This window comes from Homo sapiens, chromosome 8 (assembly GCF_000001405.40).
Source record: "Homo sapiens chromosome 8, GRCh38.p14 Primary Assembly".
Taxonomy (NCBI): Eukaryota; Metazoa; Chordata; class Mammalia; order Primates; family Hominidae; genus Homo; species Homo sapiens.
The window spans coordinates 14,343,027-14,356,541 of record NC_000008.11 but is presented as its reverse complement, the minus strand read 5'-3'; the positions used below and the strand labels follow the sequence as shown (position 1 = coordinate 14,356,541).

General features: G+C 33.3%; 1 protein-coding gene across 4 annotated transcripts in view, besides 1 other annotated feature; it reads left to right on the top strand.

Annotated features, from left to right (window-relative positions):
* SGCZ (sarcoglycan zeta) overlaps window positions 1-13,515 on the top strand; it is a 1,153,587-nt gene that overhangs the window by 881,890 nt on the left and 258,182 nt on the right. The window lies entirely within an intron of this gene.
* Window positions 5,039-5,208: an enhancer, noted in NCBI's record as "experimental_102128 CRE fragment used in MPRA reporter constructs". NCBI's record gives its function as "activates a minimal promoter by MPRAs in K562 erythroleukemia cells, with activity observed for the introgressed 8:14208928 variant allele {active_cell/tissue: K562}" and the evidence as "EXISTENCE:reporter gene assay evidence [ECO:0000049][PMID:34662402]".

The following is a 13,515-nucleotide window of genomic DNA, read 5'->3' as shown; positions in this document are numbered from 1 at the left end:
TTTTGTTAAACAAGTTCTACTTTATTCTTGAAGACATTTTAGTCCTCTAGATTTATTATTTCTTCCTCATGTTATTTCTCTTTCATTAATATACAGTATTTCCATTTGTTCATCATGATTTTTCTCTGTAGTTTTTCTCTAGCATGTAGGAATTTTTGGTAGGTCATATTTTAAAATAGCTCACTCCATTGATAAACACCAGCAGCTTGTAAAGGATTTTGGGTAACTGATACACAGAGGCTCTTAACTTACGACGGGGTTTTGTTCCAATAAACCCACTGTTAAGTTGAAAATATCATTGTCAAAAATGCATTTTATGCACCTAATCTACCGAACATCGTGGCTTAGCTTAGCCTGCTTTAAACATGTCAGAACACTTATGTTTAGCCTACAGTTGGGCAAAATCTTGCAATACAGTACAGCATTGCTTGTCCACTCTGGTGTTTGTGTGGCTGACTGGAAGCTGTGGTCTCACTGCCCCTGCCCAAGCATTATGAGAGAATATGAAACTGCATATTACTAGCCCAGGAAAAGAAAATAATGCAAAATTGGAAGAATATTTTCTGCTGAATGTGTATTACTTTCACACCATGAGGAAATTGAAAAGTGTAAGTGAAACCACTGTAAGTGGAGGAACATCAATATACAATTATCTAGATAACTCACAGACCTTCTTAGATGTCAAAATATAGAAGATCTGACACTAGACCAGGGAATTTGCTGTTTTTTTATTCTTGTATTTAATATGCCTATTTCCTTGGATAATCCCACAACTGGGTACACTGAGTATGCCAGACACTGTGATTGACACAGAAGTTCCACAGAGAGTCTTTTAATTAAAAACTTGTTAATGACCTTCAGTCCTTTCATTTTTATCATTTTCCCAAGGTTTTACAGTACTTGGTGTTTTCCAAAGATCTTTGATTTATCTCGTTTTTATTGTTTTAATTAACTCTGTCAAGCAGAATGAGCATATACGTTATTATTGAGTTTTACAAATTAACAAGTTAAGTCAGATTAAGTGAATTTTTACCAAGATTTTAAAATGATGTCTCTAGAGATTCAAAAAGTCTTCATGTAGCTCATATAAATAGGCCAGTATTTGTTAAAGAATAAATGAAAGTCTCTGTTAGATTTGTGCAATTTGTCTTCAAAAGGGAGATAAATCAATCTAGCTACTACTGTTGACATGATTAACAATTAAATTATGAATTTATGTGGAATCTAGAAAAGAGAGAATATAGACTTTGAGTTTTTAAATACAAATAAAAATTGTGCTCCTGTTTTACTGCTGATTGAAGATATAAATTATGTTGCATTCCTGACATAGTTATAATGAAACATCTGCTTGTGGCCTATAAACAAAGTACACAAACACTTTGGGAATGAACAAAATGTGTAATAAAGATTGAAGAGATTGGTATCATCAGTTAGATATAGTAATAACATATTTGAATTTAAGGATAGTGTTGGGGCAAATGTCTTATTTGTAAGAATTGAATTGCTAGCTTGCCAAATTGAAATTGAAAAACTTCTGTAATCTTTGAAAATATTCAGCAAATATTTATTAATATTGAACTAAGAAAACTGCTTAGCAATACATCCAGATCCTTACAGCTCAGTTATGTCAACTTCTGAGAAAATAAAATTTTACAATATATTATAAATTTATATAAAATTTGTGTTGCTTTACTAACAGAATAATTAAACATGTGTGAAGAATTCATAATTAAATACAAATTATGAGAATTTAAAGTCATGTTTTTTAGCTTTAGATGTTCACAGCAAGTATTTTTTAGAAATTTTAAAAAATCGTGTCTTTTGTATACATGTTTAGAGATACATAGTTTTGTCTCTGAGTGTGTGTGTGTATTTAACAACAATGCCTATATACTTAGGAATTTTATATTATGTAGACACGATGGTTTATGTTGTAAACTCTCTAGTTTACTCTTGTATTATGTTTATGTCTTTGTAGTATATTACAATATTAGTATACTATATATATTGGAATATTACTGTGTTGGAATATCATCTCTTTCCTAAAAGTAAGATCTTATCCTTAATCTACAAGAGTACTAATTTTTGTTGTATTTTACCCACTTTTCCTTAGAAAATATCTTACTATATTCACATCGAAGTGGTATCATTATAGGAGTTTTTTAAAAAATTCTTTTCTACGCTTTTCTTGTTTTATACAGTTTATTACATTTATATAAAGATTATTTTCTAATAACATTAATTTCAGATTATTTCTAGTAAAAATCAGTACTGACTAATCAGTCATTCAATGAATATTTATTAAATGTTTTCTTTATTAGGCACTGTGTGAGGCACTAAAATTACAAGTTTAACAGTGTTTATTGGAGAAACAGGGAAATAATAAGGCAATTACAATATATACAGAGATACGCACTTTTATAAGCAGATGTAGAACACTCCTTTCCCGAAAAACAAAGATACTTAGTGGAATAGTGATGTCTACATTAATAACTGAAAATGAAATAGGAGACAATTAATACAATTGTTGAGAGAATGACATTTCAGATTCAGGGTCTACTTATGAGAACTAGATTCAGGAATAAGCTAGACTTCTCCAAATTATTTCTGTAAGTCCAGAGAAGTAGCTCTTAGAATCTGGGTGGTTATAGGAATAAACTTCTGAAAGCAGATGAACATAATGAAATCAAGGTTAGTTGATTTTTTTCATCTTTAAAATTATTTATCATCCTTAGGTCTCTAGGAGAACATTTTAAAGATTTTAAACAGGTTGGTAAAATAAACAGGTTTCTGGCTGCACATTACAGGATAAATTTCAGAAGAAGAGACACAGGAAGACCAGTTAGAAGGTTATCACAATATTTCAGGTAATTTTTGTCTGATAGGGCAGAAAAAATTATAGAGATGATAAGAACGTAGAAGAAACAGCATAGTGAAAGGAAGACATCAAGGGTAAGTCTCACCGTTGTGAATTGGGACATTAGTACCTATCCATTCGCAGAATGATTCACACAGGCTTGGAATGGGGAAGACACCTTAAATTGGAAATATCTGTAAAGCATCAGAGTGGAGCTGTCCAGTGGATAGTTGAAAATAGTGGTCTGGGTTCTAAAGAGTTATGTGAGTAGAAGGGAGATAATTGTTAAAGCCATGAATCAAGATTAAATCACTACACAGGTATGTGAAATTCATAGAGAAGAGGGCCAAGGAAAGAATCAGAAAGAAATATGCCTTTTAAAGAGGGGCATAAAATAAAAACACAGATAACTAATATTTTTGTGTTAGTTTCTATCTACTAGTAAATGTCTCAAGTGCTTTGCTCATAATAATACTCATAATCTTCCCACCAACTCCATGAAGAGGAACAGATGGTATTTTGCAAATGAAGAAACTTAGTCACAGAGAAGTTGGGTAACTTGCCCAAGGTCATAGAAATCGTATGTGTAAGAACAAGATTTCAAACTCATGCAACGTGCAACATAATTCTCTTCTAATTTTGGTTGGTCCATAGAGGTAAGAACGCCCAGAAAGTTGTCCAGAAATGTTACAGGAAAATCATGAGAGTATTTTGGTACAGAAATCAAATATTTCAAAAGCAAAAGAAATCAAATGTCAAATGATATGTATGCAGAGATCAATTAGGGTAGGGAGAAAATTATTCATTGGTTTAAAATTAAGGCTGTTTAGGTGTTAAAAGACACCTAAAAATATGACTGCATGCATGTGTTGTTTACAGGGAGGAACCTGGATAGGACTGAGCCATGAATGGACAGATATCAGCAATGTTTTTATATGACCAAGGCAAAAATAGGCAGGTATATTTTTCAGAATTTGCCCTAGTTGAGAAAAGAAAGTTTCTAGGGTTTTAAAGCTTGATCCATTTGTCTTTGGGAACAAGCTCTACGGGCTTGTTACCCAAGCCAGAGGACACGTAGGTCTACTTCTCTTCCTGGTTGTTTGTGCCAGAGGCACTAGAGAATCCCAGTATCTTTTGCACCTGGTAATATTCAGTGTGCTGTCATTTGAGACAGAAGAGTAACCTTGAATCCTGGTTTCTGTCTTTGATGTCTCTGCTTACGTCAAATTTTCTTGGCTTTTATAAAACTACACAAACTTATTTCTTCCCTTTCTTTACACATTTTGTGCCGTATTTCTTTTCTTGTGTGCTCTTGCCCTTTCCTCCCAAGACAAAATTTACCCTTAATATAAGCTATCATCCTTACACTCTACTCCTTATACGTTACTTCTCTCCTCTTTTCCTGCACCTTCCTCACTCAGTAGCTGATACTGATTCCTAGATCTAACAATTAGCTTCAGCCTGGAAATTCCTAAAGTTATATTTTCAATTGAGTCTTCACACAAGTTTTTGTAACTCTTTTACTTCAAATTTACCCTGAAAGATGCATTTCATTCTTAATCTAAGTTGAGTGAATTTTAATGAAAGAAGCTAACTTTCATTAAAGAATATGTAATGTAAATAATACTACTGTTTACAACTATTCTACTATAAATAAGGTACCGTGCTATGTATTTCATACAATATATCTAAATAATTGTAAAAGGACATCGAGGTTGACGGTATTATTTGTACTTTATATATGTGAAAAATGAAATTAAACAAAGTGTCCGTGTTCATATAAAAAGCATGGGTTTGGGAATTCATTCCAGCTTTATCTACTTAAAAGCCCAATGCTTAGCTTTTATGCCTATTCTTGAGATAAAGCAAAAGCTGAAAAGAGACCCATTTGCCAAATAGTTAAGACATTTGAACAAATCAGTCAGCAGAATTCAAAATCATAATATAAAGAAATTAATCATTGTACCATTACAAGCAAATTCTTTTTTTATGTAAAAGTAATCTAAAATTCTTTGTGTTATCATCTATCTTTGTATTTGCCTTGTGGGTACTAAAATGACATCATGTTCTATTTGAATTTTGTCACAATTTCCTATATAATATATACATTATATATTATATATCCTTCTAAATTATATGATAATTTATAGTAAGCCACTTTTTTCTAGAAAGGTATTCAAACACTGGGTAAAATAATGCAATCAGACAAAGTAAACATTTAAAATTGATCATGAAGCAATTATGGCAGATAAAAAATGAGGGTAGGTAAGAGAAGGTGAAGACAAGGCTGAAGTTGATAGCCAAACTGCAAGAAGAAATTTCTATCCATGCTAGACTAGGCCAAAAAATTGTCATTAATTTTCTAACAGTTAATGCAAAGGAGTAAAATAATAATTTACATGCCCATGAGGTAAAATTAATCAATTTATCTGAATAAGTTTAACTAGGAAATAACAGCAAGGCTTATCTTACAATACCGGTAATACCAGTAATAAGAATGTAGCTCTTTTACAGACGCAGTACTTTTATTTTCATAGGTAGACTTTCTGGGTTTCAGAGTAACAGCATTAATGAAAATTAGGAAGAGGAAAGTTATACATACCTAAACAAAATGCCACTACAGAAGTATTGCAGAAGTGTTAACAAGCAGTCAAGTTGTACAGCAAAAGCTGAGAGGACTGACCCTACGCATGCATAGACATGAGCAATGGAACCTCAGGTTTTATCCAACACGGAAAACTCTCCTGAAATATTAGCAGTGAATATATTTAAAGCACCTGTAACCAAATAATATTAATCATTTAAGTTATTTCAGCAAAATATGTTTAAACGATACAATAATAATGCAAGTTCATGGTATACACTTGCCTTAGATTACGATTACTAGAAAATAGTTACTGAGAGAGAGTTTTCTGTTCAGGAGGATTAACAGAGAGGGCTTTCAAGATTGGAGAGAGGGAAAGAAGGAGCATTGGACAGAGGGAGAGGCTGAACTGTCATGCAATTCCACAAAGACCTCAGCTCTTCCACAGGGAGCCATGGAGCAGTAATTGACCTTCAGAGTGGGCCTTTCTAGAGGCGACAGGGCCAGAACCTTACACCTCTGTATGTACCGGTCACTGGGTGCACACTCTCCAAATAGATGGGGTATCACATCTTCAGCTTAGGCAATTCCTGGAAAGGGATTTAGCAGAGAATCACCAGCCCCTAACACTCCTGATAGCATGGGAAATGAATGCTTCAGTAGCAACAGAATGATTAGGATGACATACCATAGTATTCAATACAACTCCAAGCTAAAATACTTGAAAAAGCATACTTGGGTAAAAAATATATTTGCTTCTTAAGATTATTGAATATGACCTGTTCCCATCACAAACAGATGCATATCCCCAGATCTTCAGGACTTGAAAAAGCATACTTAGGTAAAAAAAAAAAAAGTTTTGCTCCTTAAGATTATTGAATATAAACTGTTCCCATCATAAACAGATTAATGTCTCCAGATCTTCAGTATTTGTTTGTTTGTTCATTTGTTTTTTAAGCTCTAAGCCCTTTCTCTATCGTTCACCTTCCAAAGACATTTTCCAAGTCACGAGGGGATTTTATCAATCATTTAGCCAAGGAAATAGTTTCCAAAGAGTTTTCTGATTAATAGCATTTATATACAACATTAATAGTTCTTATGCCATAAAGGATTTAATTTGCCAGTAAATTTGGAAATTGCTAGATTAAACACAGTTAAACATTTTTTAAAGCTACACGACTTTCCTGAGCTTTTGATTATCCTGTATCTATTATGTGTCTGTAAAAGGGATATATGATTTCTAACTTATTTGGTCATAGAACTTTTTTATGGCATGTCTACTTGGACTGTTATTCCAGAAGATACACTTTGAGACATAGTAAATATATTAAGGTACTATAAGCTACTCTGAGAATTAAGTCTTACAATTTCAAAGATTTAACACAGCAGTTTATTTCTCAGTCATTTAAGAGTCCTGTGGGCTTGTTTTTATTTGGTAAGTGGCTTTCCTGCATATGATAAACAGAAGAGCAGGGGTTTTCCTCCTTGTTAATCTGTCCTCCACTAGGATCTCAGAGTCTTTTACCCCCAATGTTGGAGATGGGAGAATAGGTAAAGATGACACATATGCTTCTTAAAAATCCTAAATTGACACATGCCTTATTGCTTACGAAAATTCCATGGCAAGAATTAGTTAGAAAATCCCATGTTGACATAGGGGAAAGCCTGCAGAGAATCTAGACCCTGTCTAGGTAGTTTTTACCAATCCACAAATATATACTATAAAAGGGGAGCACAACATTTTTGTGGGGAACTACCCATGTCTTCTTCACTGAGTTAAAGAAGTTTCTCATTTTATCACATAGTTTATAGGTGAGGAGTTGGGAGAAAAAGGGAATTGAAGGAGTACCTTCTCCCTGCAAAGATAGTTCCAGGCAACCGATTTTGGTAATGCGAATTAATTTTTCCATATGGACATTACTATGCATATTGGTTAGGATGTGTTTCCTATTACTGACAACATACGAATGTTAAATAATAGATTTGAGATTAGTGAGCTAGTCTGAAATCTACCCACAATTTACAATGTTGTCTCTAAGGAAAATGCATTCCTCTTAGTATTAAAAAGGATTTGGATGATTACTATTAGTTTGGAACATGACTCTACTAAGTTTTATATATTTACGTAACACAGTAAAAATGAGTCCAGTAAATAAATTTTGTAAAATTCTATATACTTTCCATTGCTGCGTAGAGATCCTAAAAGTGTTTTAGGTAAAAATTAAAAATTAAATGAAGAGTTTTGTAAAGTTTAGAAAATGATGTTTGTATTTAATGTATTTGGTTGAGAAAAAGCAGTACTTTAACCTTTTGTAAATGCTGAATGATATATTCTTAGCCATAAAGTCTCTTGAGAATATAGATTATGTTCTTCTTACACCAAATCAGCTTTTGAATTTTCATGTGTGTTAGATATCTTTCCAACTATAATGTGCGTTCCTTGGGAGAATAAGCCATACCTTATATTTAATGGCTATCATTTTTTTCAGCGAATATATGCCAAGTTTCAGTTGTATGCCAGCATTCGGCTGGCACTATGGATACATTGATGAACAAGATATAATTTATATTCAAAACCATTTCAATCTATGGGATTAGAGACGAACGAATATATATGACTCAAATATACTGCATAATGGTAGTTACATATGTCTACTGAGTTTGTGGACATTTATTGATCCTGTAACTGAACTCAGGTTCAGTTGCTCACTGCTCGAAAAGCCAGGGACACAAGAAGTGAGGTGTGGTGAAAGGAAGGTAACTTTTATTCCAAATGCCAGCACTTGGGGAGATGTCTGGATTCAAGCTGCAAAGAAACCATCTCAAATTTTTGGTGTGAGTGGAGAGATTTAAAAGGGGAATCTTGGTATGGGAAACATGCAGGAGTGGTGCAGGATAAAGGTCTGCATGTCTTGTTCCAATGGCTATCTTGAGTTTGTCTGGGGTGTGAATTGATACCATATTGGTTACAGCTGAGTTGCAGATGAACCACCTTGAAGTAATCCTTGGGTTGGGGAGAAGTCTGCAGCTGGGTCTCCGTGCCTGGTTTCTTGTAAGATGTACCCCTGGAATTTCTAAGAAAGTATGTAGAGAAGCGTGCATGATGCAAGGGAATGTCTGGTGGGAAAGGAAGAGAAAGAGGGAGTTGCAAAGTACATTTTAATGCTATATTCTCAGTTTAGAGAAAATAAAGTTTTAAAATCCATTTTAAAGCTGAGGCACTTGGTTACAACCTGAGTACATGTATTTCGTTCACTTCTTTGGTGTATGAATAGAATTATTTCAAGTTATAGACCTAAAAGTACACAGACAGTGTAAATAGAAATCTCATTGATGTTCTTTCCCATGGCTTCCCAAAGTGAATTACATACGTGACATATGGTAAGTATTTTAAATAAATAAATAATCTCTAAAAATTTGATGAAAATAATTTTATTTAATCTTGAGATTTACCTATGTGTATATGTATTTTTTTTTATAATTATAATTTTTATTTTATAAAGTATATGTAGATTCATAAAGTAGAAAAAAAAGTGGGAGAAAAAAATTAAATACAAAGTCTGTGGTAATTTTATGACAAAACATAAAATTTTAATGCAGTGACTAAACTATTATGTGAAAAGAAAAGTCACACAATTTCCTGAAGAACATAACTTTTTTCCTGTTACTAAATTTCTAATGCAATTAATCACATATGGAGAACAATTAATAATTTAATGAAAAATGTTCTCAACACTAGTTTTGTGGCAATTTAAGAAGTAGAATTCATGTAGCAAATTATTGTAGGAATCCTCAGTAAAAGCTCCAGACATTGCACTGAAGTTCTCTTCAGTGTAGGAATTCTGCCAGAGGCCACACTCGTATTAGCTCAATATGAAGTCTTTCTGATGCCAGGCTCTATCAAATGTTAGATCGTAGACTTCTAAGAAAAATGAGTAGTTTTTCTCATAGATTTTTTCTTTAACATAACATAATGTCTCTCAGCTAGAATGTTAATGGGAAATTGTAGCCTCTGGCAACTAACGAGGGCTAATATTCTCTATGGCTGATTAAGGACAGATGCATTAGTTTTCTTGATAAGGATAATAAATGTTAGGATAAGCATTTTATTATGAAAATTAAGGAAATAAATGTAATGGAAGACTTATTTACAAATATGTTATCAAAGCCACTGTCCGAAATAATAATTTTGATTGAAATGTTTATAAGATGGGAAAGAAAAAAAGGAAACGCCCTAAACTTTATTCTTAGTTTAAAATAAAAATAACAAACATGCGCGCACACAAATATTTATGTATCACAGAGAAGGATAAAATGCAATTGTTTCTAAAACATTAACTACAAAAATTATTAAATATATTAAAGTATGGTCTGTATCTGATTTTATATTTCAACTCAAATTATTCTTCCCTTATAATGTAAAACAGCTTCAGTTTTATTTTGTTTTATTGTAAAACTTTCCATGTGATATTTTATTTTGTGATAAGATAAATGAATATAAGATTTATTGCTTATATGCATTTGACATATGCCTACTTTTAAAATATTTCTAACAAAATGCACTATGTAACTCTATGGCTTGAAATAATGAGTGGGTTCACCTAACCAGCCTCCTTAGTATCCTAATTAGCATTTATATATAGTTCTTTTTCACCATTTTATTATGTCAGAATTTTAGTAAATCACTCAAAGTGAATTAAATTCCCCAAATAAGACAAAGTCAGTAGAATGTTTTGTTCCTATATAATGCATGATCCTTGTTTCCTAATGTATATTTTATCTCAAAGATATTAAAATACTACAGTAGAATTTTTTAATTAATAGATTTTACTTTTTGAGGAGTTTTAGGTTTACAGGAAAATGAGCAGAATGTACAAACAATTCCCATATATCAACTCACTCCACAACCCCAGTTTCTCCTATTAGTAACGTATTGTATTATTGTGATACATTTGTTACAACTGATGAGTCAATACTGATACATAACAGAGCCGATATTGACATATAATTATTAACTAAAATTCATAATTCACATTAGAATTTACTCTTTGTGTTGTATATTCTAGGGGGTTTGACAAATATACAATGACATGTATCCACCACTGCAGTATAATGTGAAATAGTTTCTCTGCCCTAAAAATTCCCTTTGTTCTACTGAGACATCCCTTCCTCCCTACCCTGAATTCTTGGCAACCACTGATCTTTTGACTGTGTTCATGATTTTGTCTTTTCCAGAATGTCATATAGTTCAGAGGGATTTGATCAAGTCACACAGTAGGAAGGGATGGAGTTTGGTCTAGAATCATGATCTAGGACTGCAATAGCTATTTTCTTTCCATTGAAGTCAATGATATTAAACTTTGGAATGCCTAGTAGATTAGCCCAGGCTAGAGTTGAACCTTTTTCTCTTTTTAAACAAATCTTTAGGAACTGAGCAATGGAATTCAAACTTCTGGGAAAGCTGGGAAATAAGTTTTCAATAGCACTAGACTTAGGCTTAACTCACGTTATTAAACAGAGCTTCTAAACCCAATGGAGATTAGGGAGACCTCTCTTCGTAAGGAAAACAGATAACTGCAGAGATAATGTGTTTGTTGTGTTATACTTTTCTCCATAACCTATACCCATACATTTATTTGCCATTTGTAAGAAACATTCACACATTTTTTTCTGGGTGTATTCTGAGGACTTGAATTCTAGGTCAGAGGACATACATATATCCCAGAATTTAGCATAAGTAGATCTGCAAACAGTTTTCCAAATGTGCCTTCTCACCGGGTAGTATATGAGAGGTTCCACGTGTTTCACATTCTTAGCAGTTCTTGATAGTGCCATTCTTTTTAAGATTTCTGACTCTAATGGATGTGTAGTGAAAACTTGTGGTTTAATTGGCATGTCGCTGATGAGTAATGAGGTTAACCACCTTTTCATAAGTTTACGGGTATTTTACTATCCTTTTCTATGAAGTTTCCATTTCAGTTCATTGGCTTAATTTTCCATTGTGTTGGTTATCTTACTGTTTAATAGGAATTCTCTACAGAATATGAAAAAAATTGTGTGTGTATATGCACACGTACATTTGCATTTACTTGTATTTATGCTTTTATTTTGCCAGTGTGTATGCCTACAAGTGAAATTACTGTCAAAATTTTGCCCTAAATTAGTTGTATCGTAGAAATCCACTATCATTAGAAACCCTCTGCAATGTAGAAATTCTCATTACTTCACGTTCTCTCCTAAACTTGAGATTATTAAAAAAAAATTGTAGTTTTAGTAATTTTGATGGGTTTATGTTGCTATATCATCGTGGTTTATATTTTCATTTGTAGCTGGTCTCATGTATAAAACCACAATTGACTGTTTCATTCAGTAATTTAACTCAAGTCGTTATATTAATTCTAGTTATTCATCCTGTGCATTACTTACATTTTCTGCATACATATTCATGTCACCATCAGATTGCAAATTTTATTTCTGCTTTTCTAAGCCTTTCGTTCCCCCCTTTTCCCTTTCTCTTTTGCATTGTGTAGAGATTTACTTTTATTTGTTATAAGGTGTAGGTTGGTCGTTAATTTCTTTCAGGTTTTTAAGATGTTGTTTATCTGCTCTGTTTCTTATAATTTTTTAAGAAGTTAGCTGTCAGTTTTATTGTTGTTATTCTATAGTTAATGTATTTTTTTCAGTTACTGATTTGAAGATTGTCTTTCTTTTTGATTTGCATTAGCCTTACCACACTGTATATAGTGTAGCTTTTTTTTTGTATTTTTCCTGGTTCCAGTTTCATAGACTTCTTGAATCTATTACTGGATAGTTATTTGTTAAATTTAGTATCCATTATTCTTCAATTAAAATAGCTTAGATATTTTCCTTATCTAAGGTCTACTGGTCTCCTCTATTCCTCTGTACCCCTATTCACTTGTTTTTGGTTTCTATCCACGCATTTGTGAATGAAACATCTTATTGATTTCAATGGTTCTGTCTTTAGCAGTTCCCAATCTCTCGCTGTGCCCATCAATAAAGTTCTTAACATCAAATATTGAATTGTTCATTTCTGGAATTTCCATTTAATTCTTTTTCGTGGATTGCAGTTCCTTCATGAAATTTTGTATCCTCTTATATATTTTTCTGAATACTTGAATTATAATTATTTTGAACCAATATGTGAATCCTCAATTGGATCACCTCTTTTTTTTAATTTGCACTGCTTCTTTTTCCCCTTTAGTACTAATTCTTGGTGTGATAGGTGTTTCTGAATAAACTCTAGATTTAGTGTCTGAAAAAAATGATAAATACTCTCTATAATGTTATCTTTGCTTAGAGAGGATTTACCCTCTGCTCACTAAATAAAATTAAGGTTGGCGATGACATGACACTGTGATTCAGATATTGTGAGTCTCCTCTGAATCTAGATTATTCTGTCTCTAAGATACAATCCTCTATGGCTCCGAAATGAACACTGCAATATTTACTAGAACCCCTTCCCCTGACTGAGCACTAGTATTTAATTTTTGTTCTGCAGCACTATGCTATTTCTGAACATTTTCTTGAAATTCTTATATATTTAAATTTAGCTCCTTAGCCTCTAATCAGCAAATGACTTGAGGGAAAACATACGTAGAGTCCAAGTTATAACTCTCTTCATCTCTCTTTTTCCCAGGATCTTAGTCCCTCCATTTCTGACTGCCTTGACAGACCTGGAATTAAATGTTACAGGCTGGTGTTGAGTGTCTGTGGCTTTTCCAGGCACATGGTGCAAGCTGACAGTGGATCTACCATTCTGGGTCTGGAGGATGGTGGCCCTCTTCTTGCAGCTCCACTAGGCAGTGCCCCAGTAGGAACTCTGTGTGGGGGCTCTGACCCCACATTTCCCTTCTGGACTGCACTAGCAGAGGTTCTCCATGAGGGCCCTGCCCATGCAGCAAACTTTTGCCTGGGCATCCAAGTGTTTCCATACATCTTCTGAAATTTAGGCAGAGGTGTCCAAACCTCATTTCTTGACTTCTGTGCACCTGTAGGCTCAACACCATGTGGAAGTTGCTAAGGCTTGGGGCTTCCACCCTCTGAAGTCACAGCC